Genomic DNA, 13,607 nt, shown 5'->3' with positions numbered 1-13,607 from the left:
CACAGCTGCCACAGATCTTTGTTTTATTGAACTACACACATCAATGGCAAATGATTTTTACTTCAACAGATACAGCACAAGTTTTTCCAAACCATCTCCAACTATCTTTGCACAGGAGTAGCCTGCATCGAAGCACAACTGCAAAGTTGAATTTCTCTGAGAGACTGCTCTATTAAACCTGACAAAAATCACACTACGTATTTCGCAGGCAAAAGACTGCTCTTTAATGAGCAAGCTTATTTTGTACCTTTTCCCCCATTAAGCAATTAGTATGATGGATTTTAGTTAATGGAACCAAAGGGCTTATTAATTTAAGCTCAATGCCGATTTTTGCACATTTCAGACATAAATTATCCAAAATCACTACTGCTAAGACTAGCTCCCAACGAATTCGTAAAAGTCACCGAATGCAGGCAAAAGGGCAGCTTTGCCTCACGGATTAGGACAGTACACTACTCATAAAAAAAAAATCCATCTAATTAAAAATACCGGGAACAAAAGACTCCATTCTCCCCGCGGCTACCTGCACCACTCCGGGTGACGAAGAGTCATCGAGAAAGTTCAGCCTCCATCTCTTCGAAATCCTTAAATGTGGTCCCTCAGGGGTTAAAAAGCCACCTCATCTCAGATGCGAATGTTGCCTCCGCACCGATTCAAACCCGCGCCGAGCCTCCTCCCATTCCGACACCACAAGGGAGAAGAGCGGAGCCGCCGCCGCCGCCGCCGCCACCACCGCCACCGCCACCGCCGCGGTCCCCGGAGCGAGCGAGCGACCCTGCCGCGCGGGGAGCCTCACCGGGAGCCGCGCTCCGCCAGCCCGCCCCAGGCCGCCGCCGCCGCCGCCGCTCACCCACCTTGCCGCGGCGCGCCCTCGCTGTGGCCGTGAGGAACCGAGCCCAGCGCTGCCAAGTTGCCTGGGTCTGGAGCGTATCGTGTTACAGCGCCTGGCTCCGGGCTCGGGCTGCGCGCGGCGGCCAGACATGATAGGCTGAGGCTCCTCTGTTTACACCCGGCCGCCGAGGGGGCGGTGCGCCGCTTAACCCCTTCGCGCCGGGCCGCCACCGCCGCCTCCCGCCAGCCCCGCGCCCAGCGCCCCGGCTCGGCCGCCGCCTCACCCCCTCGCCTCACCCCCTCGCCCCGCTCCACACACGCGGGCCGGGGCCTGTGAGCAGCCGTGCCCCCAGCGAAGACGGGGGAACTGCACTGAGAACCCGCTCCCGGCACCCTCCGAAGACCCCGCGGGGCGGCATCCTCCCCTCCACACACGCACGCTCGCGAGCCGCCCCGGGCAGCGGCCGTGTTCCTCGGCGGGGCTTCGCCGGCGGCTTTTGATCCCGCCTCAGAGCTGTTCTCCGGCAGCGCTACTTTCCCGTGCTCACAAAAGCATCTCTCTCCCAACCCATGAACGGATCCCGACCCCTGCTCTGCCACCATTCATGCGTCCCGCATCCGAGGTGTCGCCTTCACCCACACGCCCCACGGCCCCGCGAAACTCGGCCCTCCAGCTCGCGGGACGCGCTGCCTGCCAGGCGGGCCCGGCGGTACCTCGGGGGCGGGAGGGGTCGGTCGCAGGGCCCCCAGCCTGGCGCCCGCGGGGCGTCCGCAGCGAAGGGGTGGGTGTCGCTCGTGAACGCAGCAGGGACCAGCTCAGCCCGCGCTCGCCCCTGGGCCTCGGCCACCGCCTCTCCGCCACTTTCTCGGCCCCTGCGTGGACCGGCCCGTGGCGGGGGCTGCTCTGCGCCCTCGTCCCCGCAGCAGTCGCGGACCCCCATTAACGTTGACGAGTCAGTGTCGCGACCCGGGGAGAGAAGACGGTACCAGGGGCTGAAGGCATGTGTGCAAGTGGCCCGAGCCACTCTCCATGATATACCAGGGCTGGACAGCCCTGATCCGGAATAGCTCATGTGGTGTTCTAACTAGCTTTACTTTTAAATAAAACATACTTCAACATTGCATCACTTAAATTTTTATAAAAAATTGTGTTTTTTCCCCTCCAGATCCACTATTATCATTATTTTTGCATTGCTTCCAGTCCAACGTCCTTCCTTTAATTTTTCTTCCAGAACATTCCATCCCCTCCAGCCTCTTCCTCCATTAAACTGAGAATTGAATGACTGAATGTTCGTGAATTTTTAGATTCACCGGTGCTTTCTTCCAATCCCTCCAAACCTCTCATTTTTATAAAGAAACAAGGAAAACATGAAGCACCTTACATCACAATACCAGTATCAACAACATATCTTTATCAGCTCTCATTCCATATTTTAACTACCTTCTAAATACAGACCCAAACCAAAAAATTAATACTTTAAGAAAGGAAGGATCAGTGTTCTCTTTTCATTTATCAGTAAGATTAGCAGACTGCAATTAGAATTTCTCTCTTCCCCCACGGTCTTTCCTCCAGTAAAGACAAAATGCTTTCCTCATTCCCATGATTCAACAACAACAGTAATTTCCTTATCTTCTTGAACATACTAGCTTTACCTTGACTTTTGTCGCTTTTTATACCCAATGCTACAAGAATATGAATACAGCTCTTCTACCTCTTTGTAGATACTTTTCTTTCTCATTTTCCATTACGTCTAAGACATCCATCCTCATACATGGAAATATCTAACGCCGCTCAGGGTTTAAGCAGTCTCCACACCTTAGTTTTTTTTTTTTTCTATCACTAACTCTGGGTCTCTAAAATCGTGACTCACAAACACACTCTATTACAACGTCACAACCAGCCTGTCTATTCCTCCGTTAATGATCAATATATTCACCCTTTAATTGGGACACTATGAAGATATCATAGAAATTATTTAAACACAAGGCGGTTATTTAAAATTTAGACATTCCTTTGACACTGTATAAATTTTGAAGTTATTTCAGGGTTTTGAAATTCTTTCTCTTTAGTAAATTGGGTCAAAAAATAGAACAATAGGTATGTTGTTGGGCACTGCAAAACTTCTAAGCTCTTAAGCAAATATCTTCCTTAAGTCTTAATGTTTTGAAAAGGATCATTTCACAAATCAATGCAATGCATGTGTCTTCTGAGGGGGGTGGGGGGTCACCTGAAGTAACTGCAAATAAACACCATATAACTAGGGCAGAGGATGAAGATGATGTTGTTCAATTGGAATCTTTGAAGAATTAAATTGGCAGAACATTACACGGTTAAAATTTGCCAAGAGGCTGGGCGGCATGTCTCATGTCTCTAATCCCAGCATTTTGGGAGATGGAGGCAGGCAGACTGCTTGAGCCCAGGAGTTCAAGACCAACCTGAGCAATATAGGGAGACTCCGTCTCTTAAAAAAAAAAAAAAAGTGCTAGGACCTGGGGGCTTGTCTATGCTTCAAAAATGCACTCCTTGATTTTTGACAACCACAAGTTAGCAAATCTGGACTTGGACTAGAACGTTCGAATGCAGAAAGATAAGCACACTAATGGAAGAATGAAAGGTTTTAAGATCTTAAACCATTGTTTGGGTCAAGATGAATCTCAAGAAGACTGATCCTCTGACCTGCTCATTTCCCCAGATGAATGCTATGTAAATTGGTCACTGATTGATAGCATTTATTAAAATTTCCATTTAAAATGCTAATTAGATATAAGTATTACATACAGGTTAGGCAAAATTTTATATTGGAGTGTACTGGAGTATTCTACATGTATATCTAGTTCCACCTTTTCTGAATACAAAACTAATTATGTATTTCCAAATTAGACAAAGATGGGATCCTTTGAGAATAATCAAGGATTTACACTGAACGAAGCTGAGCAGTAGCAGTAGCAGCCCATGGGGCAAAGGCAGAGGAAGAGACATGGTTTTAAACAATTTCTATTGTTGAAAAGTGAAGGATGGTTTCCACATATATCTTCCCAAGAAAAGATACACAGTTTTGTGGACACCCCCATGCATACATTAAATCACTGCCGTCTTTTAAATACAGGAGTCCACCAAAGAGTTCCACAGAGACGTGTAATGAGGCCCACGTTCAACTTCTGTTTTCTTCTACTATAGTTTGCCATATCGATGATGTCAGAGATAATTAGCATTATGGATATCGCCTTCTATAACTTAAGCAATTCTTGTCTAAGATCTGCGGAATTCCCCACAGTTCCATGAGCAGACACTATCAAATATATTGAATTATGTGGCTATTTTATGTTGTGAATGAATAACCACGTGGAATCATACTTGGAATATTAAATGAATTTTACTTAAAACTGAATTCAGTTCTTTAGGCATAAAAATCTAATGACCGAACACCACGAGGAAGATTTTTAAAAATGCATGAACCAAACCAAATCAAAGCAAATTGTATTTAAAAAAAAAAATAAAAAGTCCACAAATGAGCTGTTACTTCAAACTGGCACCAACTTAGCTTCATATTAAGAATGCTTCTGACCTCTCTCTCCTTAGGACAAAAACCTTGAAGAAAAATCGAATTGTAACCGACACTGAGATTATTACCTTTCCCGCTAATTATTAAGTACCAAATCCACATTGTCAGAGGTGCTAATACAAAATCAAAATCAAACACTCATAGCTATACTAAATAGATGATTATGATTAAAGCTAACACTAAGCACTTCATTTTATGACTGGCATTTGATACACACCATTTTTATTTAATTTTCTAATCTCATATGAGAAGAGTAATATCATCCCATTTTATAGATGAAGAACTGGAGCTTAGAGAAGTTAATCATGTGCCCACATAGTTACAGAGTGCTTGGGCCTAAACACAGTTCCAGGTTTGATGGACTCAGGAGCCTGCCGCTTAACCATTTCTCTAAATATTTAGACAGTATTGACTCAATAGTTAAAGCTGGTTATTGGCCAGGCACGGTGGCTCACACCTGTAATCCCAGCACTTTGGGAGGCCGAGGTGGGTGGATCACCTGAGGTCAGGAGTTCGAGACCAGCCTGGCCAACATAGTGAAACCCCATCTCCACTAAAAATACAAAAAATTAGCCGGGTGTGTTGGCATCCCCCTGTAATCCCAGCTACTCGAGAGGCTAGGGCAGGAGAATCACTTGAACATGGGAGGTGGAGGTTGCAGGTTGCAGTGAGCCCAGATCGCGCCATTGCATTCCAGCCTGGGCAGCTGGGCAGGAAGAGCAAAACTCCATCGCAACAAAAAAGAAAGCTGGTTGTTAGGAGTGTAGTTCACCGTTTAAATAAAATTTATCAGGATAAGCCCCACCAAAGATTTGGAAACATAATATTCCATTTAAAAATTGATAACTTGTGGATTTGAGAAGGAGCAAAATAAAAAAAGGGATAGTCCTCGATTTCTCCTGTGTTTTCAAATTACCTCAAGAGGTCAGGAAACAAATAGGCCAATATTAGTATCCTCTGAGAGCTGTAATCTTATAGAGGAAAAAAATGGCTAACAAACATTCCTAAACACCGGAATTAGGGATTGTCGTAGGTCAATATATGTCTGTCCCTCTAGAATCTAGTCTGTTTAGACTGACTCTTAAAAATTATACCTTTATTTGTAAATATATATATATTTTTAAAAGCATATCAAAGAAATTGTTACCAAAATTATAGCACACTGAGATCAATTGGTAATAATAATGGTACATTAGTTAGATCCTGTGAATAAAATTGTAGATTTTGTCTTATGTTTTGCCAACTGTTATTTTGTCAGTAGCACATAACTTTCTAACAGCTATATGGACTCTGATGTAAAACTATAAGCTGACATAAAACTATATTTAAAATCATGGGTCTTTTCTCCAGTAAAGTTCGATTATCATTTACATTGGAACAGAAATAAAGGTTTGAAAACAAAGTCTTGTAATAAAGGCCAATTCATAATTTTTCACAGATGTCTACAGTAAATCTAAAAGGCTAGTGTAATAGCTAGGTGATTCTTTCTTTGATTTACCCTATGGAAAAATCCACCCACAATAGACATATTTATTTCACAATAATAAATGACCCACATCTGAAATCATTTCTAAAGGTGAGTTCTCTTTACTTTTAAAGGTGTTAAATTATTTCACCCCCCAAAAACCAAATGCTTTGTGGAATCTGATACATGATGAAGACTTAGGGCTCTTTCTTTAGATATCCAATCATGTCCACTGCTTGCCAAAAGCACTGGTCCTTAATTTTGTCCTAATTCAGATGACCTTGGGCAGGAGCCTACTGGGTCCTCTACAGCCTGGGCAGGCAGGGAGGAGGAGGAAGCAGGATCTGGGTGTGTGTGATGAGGTCTGGACTCTTTGTAGGGGGCAGTCAAGCAATGTGCTGTATACGAAAGGCTTAGTGAGCTTCAGTCCTGTCCTGGCAACTATCCAAGTAGGAGGGAAGGGGGTGAGGTAGGGACATCATTCCTACCTGGTGGTGAGAGCAGGAGAGAGGCAGGAGGGCAGAGCTTCAAGAGAAATCCAGATGGCCAGCAAGAGTTAGCTGGGGCTGTGGATGCCAGGAACTGAGTACGTAGCAAGAGCTGAGGACCCAACCCAAGTCAAGCCATCAGGTGTCCAACAATGTTAGAAGACAATCTATAGCACAGAGAAGTATATGGAAGCCTAGTTTTATCAGTAACCTCCATGACTAGGGAAGGACAGGAGTGGCCAAGCTAGAGGGAGTGCTGCTTATCCCTGGCACATTGGATTCAGGGGCTGCAGACACACTAATTCCTAGGCCCACCCAGGGATGGCAGTATGTGTCTATGCTTGGCAACTTATTGGGGTTCACCTGACTTTTAGGCTTTGATAATATGAATACATTTTGGGGAGTATTTTGAATGTATTCTTTGGCAGTCCAAGATAAAGAAATGGAAGTGTGATAAATAAAGATGATTGAATTGTTTTTAATTATGGAGCAAATTCTTCAATCTGGACCATCTGTTTCCAACCATCATTCCATTCACCCATTCCCAAAACACTTGTGTTGGTTCTCAGGCCAGACACGGTGGCTCATGCCTGTAATCTAACACTTTGGAAGGCTGAGATGATGGATCATTTGAGCCCAGGAGTTCAAGACCAGCCTGAGCAACATGGCGAAACTACATCTCTACAGAAAAGAACCCATATATATATATATGTGTGTGTGTGTGTGTGTGTGTGTGTGTGTGTATATATGTATGTATGTATATATATGTATATATATGTGTATATACACACACACACACACACATATGTACACACACACACACACACACAAATTAGTCGAGTGTGCTGGCATATGCCTGTAGTCCCAGTTAGTCTGGAGGCTGAGGCAGGAGGATCACTTGAGCCTCGGAGGTGGAGGTTGCAGTGAGCCATGATTGTGCCACTGCACTCCAGCCTGGGTGACAAAGCAAGACTCTATCTCTAAAAAAACAAGCAAACAAACAAAAAGACCAAGCATTTTTGGTTGAATGTCAAAAATCTTTGAAATTAAATGTATTACTATAAGTACTTTGTTTTGATTGTTTAGAAAGGAAGAATTATTCATTGGTGACTAGTGCAGTGGTGTTGTCAGATGGGTAGTTGTCTATAGTGGCAATAGCCGTGCATAGATCAAATCCTTTATGCAGTGGACAGAACATAGAAATCACACAAACTTTTATATTAACCCTTTACAATTTATAATATCAACCATTTCAAAAGAATCCATATGTACTAAGATATTTTTGCAAATAGTTTAACATATCTTTATTGACAAATAAATTTAGATAATAATTATTAATTTCAGGTGTTTTCATGATATAGTCATATAGAATGTGTTTTTCAGGATTTTCTGACTTTGTGAACACGATTTATGAGTATGCACATATATTTATGCATCATTGTGGATAGAGGAAGTACATGCTCCATACCTCTGCATTTTAGCTGACCAATTTCTGCTTGCTCATAACTTGGCTTAGAAGTCAGTTCTTCCATTTAGCCTTGCCTGATTCACCAAGAATAGTTTATGGGCCCCTCTTCTGCATTCCCATTCAGCTCCGTAAATACTCTTTTCCTGCCTTCATCGTACTATATTCTGCTCCCTGTCTACTTGTCTGTAGCTCCTTCCAGACCACGAACATACGAGCATAGGGACGATTTCTTTGCTGATTTCTTAACATTTGGCATAGTGTCTTGCACAAAAGAGACACCAAATAAATGCTGGTTTGGGCCAGGTACAGTGGCTCACGCCTATAATCCCAGCACTTTGGGAGTCAGAGGTGGGCAGATCACAAGGTCAGGAGTTCGAGGCAGGCAGATCATCAGGTCAGGAGTTCAAGACCAGCCTGGCCAACATAGTGAAACCCCATCTCTACTAAAAATACAAAAATTAGCTGGGCGTGGTGGCACGTGCCTGTAGTCCCAGCTACTAGGGAGGCTGAGGCAGGAGGATCACTTGAACCTGGGAGGCAGAGGTTGTGGTGAGCGGAGATTGCACCACTGCACTCCAGCCTGGGCAACAGAGCGAGACTCCATCTCAAAAAATAATAATAAATAAAATAAATGCTGGTTTGGGAATGAGTGGATGGATGGATGAATGGATGGGTCAATGGAAATGAAGAATCCAGATTTTAAAAAATTGCTTGCTGATTAAAATGATTCTTTCCTATGTATACATCACACTATTCTGTAATTATTGTTTTCTTTTTCTCTTTCTGTCTGTCTGTCTGTGTCTCTCTCACATACTCCTAAGCTAACATAAACCTCACGAGGGCAGAGGCTGTGACCTAATGTCACCTAGCACCATTGATAGTTCAAGGTCATTATTTTAGAAAAATCTATACATACATTTTTTGTTTATAAAAATTACAGGATTATAAAACCGAACATAAACTTAATACATGATCTAATTTTGTGATACCCTCCCAGATCGCTCTCAGATATAATCCAGTCTAAATTACACCACACACAGATGAATTTATTTGGTTAAAAAAAAGCCCTTCCGTGCCATAGCCATTCCAAGTAATACATTACAATGTTTTACATTGTTTACTGAGGGCAATTCTATTTTAAGAGTCTCTAACTTAAGCAGAAAAGGTAACTATCGGGAACTGGGCTTAATACCTGGGTGATGGGATAATATCTACAACAAACCCCGTGACACGTGTTTACTTATGTAACAAACCTTCACATGTATCCCCAAACCTGAAATAAAAGTCGAAAAAAAAAAAAACCTCTAGAGCTACAATTTATGCTCAATGCCTTCCGCACGGTCTTCCGCAGAAGTGAGGAGCAGCTGGTCACCATTTTCTCAATAAGGACCTTTCATATACTTAATGATAATTATTCTCAAATCTTCCCTTAAAATCCACATCGTCATGTTAAACTCATTATTACTACCATTTCCTCATGGGTCTGTTTTTCATCTCTTTCATCTTCTTAAAGGCTCTTCTCTGAACTTCCTCTGTAGGACTGGGGGTGGAGGTAGCTGAGAACCATCACCTTTGAGTCATCAGGCTGTAGATCTAGACATGTAGGCCCAGGAAGAGTAGAAAGCTCTATGATAAGACAAATGGCGTAGAGAAACGAAATGGAGTGAAGTGAGCATTGCTTTGGCTATCTGTATTTAAAGGTGCCCATCAGAGCCAGCTGCAGTGGCTCACGCCTGTAATCCCAGCACTTTGGGAGGCCGAGGCGGGTGGATCATGAGGTCAGGAGTTCAAGACCAGCCTGGCCAAGATGGTGACACCCCGTCTCTACTAAAAATACAAAAAAATTAGCTGGGCGTGGTGGTGCGTGCCTGTAGTCCCAGTTACTTGGGAGGCTGAGGCAGAGAATCGCTTGAACCCGAGAGGCGGAGGTTGCAGTGAGCCGAGATCGCACGGCTGCACTCCAGCCTGGGCAACAGAGCGAGACTCCGTCAAAAAAAAAAAAAAAAAAGGTGCCCACCAGGAGTTTGCAGCTGGAAGAAGGGGGTTTCGTTCTATAATGTAGATTTACTAACCTGGTTCCCTAACAGTGATACTTACGAGAGCAGATGAGATTTCAGAGGCAATGAGTAAACGAAGACAGCAACCAGCCAAGCTGGAATCTTGGTGGATGCTTACATAGAGGGGCCAGAGAGAGGAAGTTCACCCAATGGGGAGACAGAAGGCACCGTCTGGGAAGTTGGAGAGAATCTGCAGTGTAAAACGACGAAGAAGCCCCAAGTAGAGATTTCAAGAATTGGGACAGGGAATGGTGTGGGTGATGGTTAACAAAGATACATGTTACAGATTAATACTTCTAATGATTGAAGAAAAGGTCTTGAAATTGGCAGGAAGAAGCAATTTTCGATCTAAAGGAGAATAATTCTAGTAGAATAATGGGGTGAATGTCAGAGGTAATGGGTATTGAAAACCAAGTGGATGGTGGGGAAATAGAGACAGCTAGTTTACACACCAGATTTTTTCTTCAAACCTTCTAGATTTGAATTCCTCTCACATTTATTGAATGCCTATTATGTGCCTGAAACACCTTAGGTTCTTTCACATGAAATGCCTTGTTTAATCGTCACAGGACATCCCTAGATTAAAACTAAAGTAGAAAACCGTATTTCCATTATTTAAAATACCCTGTAGGAAAAAATATACAAATTCTTTTAGGCAAATTTCTACCTAGGGTCTGTCTTGGTTTATAAAAAGCCAATGTGCTTAGGGTCTTGCTAGGGGCAACTTCAGCAGCTTAAGGGAAATCATAGAAACATACACAGTAAGTAATATAGGAGAAGAGAGTTCTCTAAAAAGAGGAGAGAAGGGAGAGTGAAAAACAGGTAGAGTCAGAGGCTGTCAGGTAAGGAAAACTCAATTACTGTCTAGTCCTGGGGACTTTCAGCTTCAGAGTGATAACAAACTTCACAGATGTATCTGTACAGAGGGAATTGAGTCTTGCAAAAGATCTGGAGTCATTGAAAGGCAAAATAAGGGCATCTATTAATCGATGCTGAGCAAGTTAAATGTAACTCCTGAGGCCATGGCAAACTGAAGATCCTGACCACAAAGGCAAGTGTCCACGTGTAGATTTTGACACTGGACCATCCAGATGTTTCAGAGCCTATCATCCTTGGTGGCCATTTGACTGAAATAGAAACCACTGTAAAAATATGTAGAACTATGTTATTTTTGGCCAAAGGCCTTTGCAAGATTTTCAACAAAAGCTTTGTACAATGTGATCATTCAAATGAATTTTAAAAATTAAGGCAGAAGAAGTTAGAGTATTTTAGAATTAATTTCATAATATTACTCATTAGATCAATATATCACTATGTCACCTTAACTACAGAGTCTAAGATAGCCTCAGTACAGATGATATAAGCAGCCAGCATAAGTAAAAATGTTCTCAAAGTTAGGTACAAGTGTATGTTGAATAACTGCATCTTTTTTGGTTGTATTCTACAGTGGTTGTTGGGCAAATTTACCTTCAAGGAATTTCTGGCAGGGTTTCATAAGGATGGCTAGAATGAGGAATTTTCTAACTGGAAAAAAAACAAGTCAGTTTCTGATTAACAGCAATTTATGATTAGTGAGAAAGGCCTTAAATTATTTCTGGGCATCTATGCCATAAAAAAGCTTACTCTATTGCGTGATGATGATTTCTACCAACTTTAATAAAAACATGTAGTTTCATAACCAGCGCCAGGAAAATGCATGGCTGAAACTCAGACAAGCAGATATCTTTAAGCTTTAGACTACTTAAATAATGGTCACTGCAGTTGATGATAAAAATGAACTCACTGCAAAATAAAATAATTTAAAAGAAACAAAATAGCTTAAATAGTTTGCACACTAAAGGAGCAAAGAAACATCACAGCTCACCCTTCAAGAATTTCTCTACTTCTCTATAAATTCTCTAGAAATCAGGAAACCTGGGTTCAGGATATTATTCTTCTGACCAGCTGTGTAACCTTGGTAACTCTTAAGTTATCTGGGTCTCATTTTTTCCCTCTAAAAAGAAATCTCTCAGATCACTTGCAACCTTTAAATGGCCATCCAGGAGGTTCCTCCAGTTTCTTTAATGTCTTAGGATAATAGTTTTCTGTTGCTTTATTTATTTATTTATTTATTTGAGACAGGATCTCGCTCTGTTGCTCAGGCTGGAGTGCTGTGGTGCTATCTCGGCTCACTGCAACCACTGCTTCCTGGGCTCAAGCAATCCTCCCATCTCAGCCTCTGGAGTAGCTGGGACTACAGGTGCCCGCCCAGATATTTTTTTTTTTTTTTAGACGGAGTCTCGCTCTGTCATCCAGGCTGAAGTGCGGTGGTGCGATCTCACCTCACTGCAACCTCTGCCTCCTGGGTTCAAGTGATTCTCCTGCCTCAGCCTCCAGAATAGTTGGGATTACAAGCGCCTACCACCACGTCTGGCTAACTTTTTTATGTTTTTAGTGGAGATGGAGTTTCACCATGTTGGCCAGGCTGGTCTCTAACTCTTGACCTCGAGTGATCTGCCCACTTGGCCTCCCAAAGTGTTGGGATTACAGGCATGAGCCACCGCACCCAGCCAGCCATCAGCTATTTTTTTTGTATTTTTTGTAGAGACAAGGTTTTGCCATGTTGCCCAGGCTGATCTTGAACTCCTAGGCTCAAGGGATTCTCCCACCTCTGCCTCCCAAAGTGCTGGGATTACAGGAGTGAGCAACGATGGCTGGCCTCAGTAGCTGTATTTTAAAATTCATTCATTTTCTTAAGGTTTTTCCCTTTCTACCCTCCTGAGTTTGTTGCCTATCTATCCACTATAAAATTACAGATCAAGCTTTGGTTTGTTTATTTTGAAGAATGAATTAAAGAAGCTCACTCAGCTATTTCCAAATGTTAACTTCTTAATGCATATACGATTTAGAGAACAGCTATTTTTGTCTTTATTCTACCCCATATGGTAACATTTGGTGTGTTAAGATAGTAGGCACATTTCAATGCATTTAAGAGGTGAGAAGTTGAGAAGTTCTTTCCTTCATGAGAATAGCACTGGTGCATTTTTTTTTTTTTTTGGAGGCGGAGTTTCGTTCTTGCTGCCCAGGCTGGAGTGCAATGGCACAGTCTTGGCTCACTGTAACCTCCGCCTCCTGGGTTCAAGCAATTCTCCTGCCTCAGCCTCCCTAGTACTCCCTAGTAGCTGGGATAACAGGTGCCCACCACCACGCCTGGCTAATTTTTGTATTTTTAGTAGAGATGGGGTTTCACCATGTTGGCCAGGCTGGTCTCGAACTCCTGACCTCAGATGATCTGCCCGCCTTGGCCTCCCAAAGTGCTGGGATTACAGGTGTGAGCCACCATGCCTGGCCAAGAATTGCACTGGTGCATTTTTTAGAAGTCAAGAGAGGTAACAAGGTGTGTGTGACCTATATTATCATATGTTTATTAAATTGGTGGTGGCAAGGATCTAACCACAGCCATATCATGTGCTTTTATTCTTCCTACCGAAGGTGTACATACTTTGCAAGATCTCTCTTTTCCAATGATTCGGTGTCTTATCAACAACTTGAAATAAGGCGTTCCACAAATAGGAGGCTCTTTGTATGTGTCACACACGTTAGAGCGCATCACCAGTTTCCTAACAGAAGAGATTATGCAGCACCACCAAATGCTGCAACCTAAAAGGAACTCGAAGCTTACTGCTCAATCCCCTGCCTTCTCACAGGGCAGCTGGTGAGTATGACCCCGAAGACAGACAAAGCTGCAGTCGTTGT

At 43.0% G+C, this 13,607-nt stretch overlaps 1 protein-coding gene across 31 annotated transcripts in view, besides 1 other annotated feature; it reads right to left on the bottom strand.

Moving 5' to 3' along the window:
• Positions 1-13,607, bottom strand: part of TENM3 (teneurin transmembrane protein 3) — a 1,355,412-nt gene that overhangs the window by 353,087 nt on the left and 988,718 nt on the right. For 5 of the 31 annotated variants that reach the window (NM_001415960.1, NM_001415961.1, NM_001415962.1 and 2 more), the window contains exon 1: positions 855-922. The exons of 24 other annotated variants lie outside the window; for them this stretch is intronic. Coding sequence is in view for 2 of the 7 variants with exons in the window: in XM_047415948.1 (XP_047271904.1) it covers positions 490-508 (19 nt within the window). In the remaining 5 variants the exon portion in view is untranslated. Of the gene's footprint in view, positions 1-489; positions 781-854; positions 923-13,607 lie in introns of those variants that run through there. 2 more of the 31 variants (XM_047415948.1, XM_017008395.2) reach the window with 2 other exon arrangements.
• Positions 918-967: a silencer, noted in NCBI's record as "silent region_15821". NCBI's record gives its function as "represses an Ori minimal core promoter by ATAC-STARR-seq in GM12878 lymphoblastoid cells {active_cell/tissue: GM12878}" and the evidence as "EXISTENCE:reporter gene assay evidence [ECO:0000049][PMID:35858748]".

The sequence above is a fragment of the Homo sapiens genome, chromosome 4, assembly GCF_000001405.40.
Source record: "Homo sapiens chromosome 4, GRCh38.p14 Primary Assembly".
NCBI classification, from domain to species: domain Eukaryota; kingdom Metazoa; phylum Chordata; class Mammalia; order Primates; family Hominidae; genus Homo; species Homo sapiens.
Note: the sequence above shows the minus strand (reverse complement) of the source record. Positions and strands in the feature narration are given on the sequence as shown.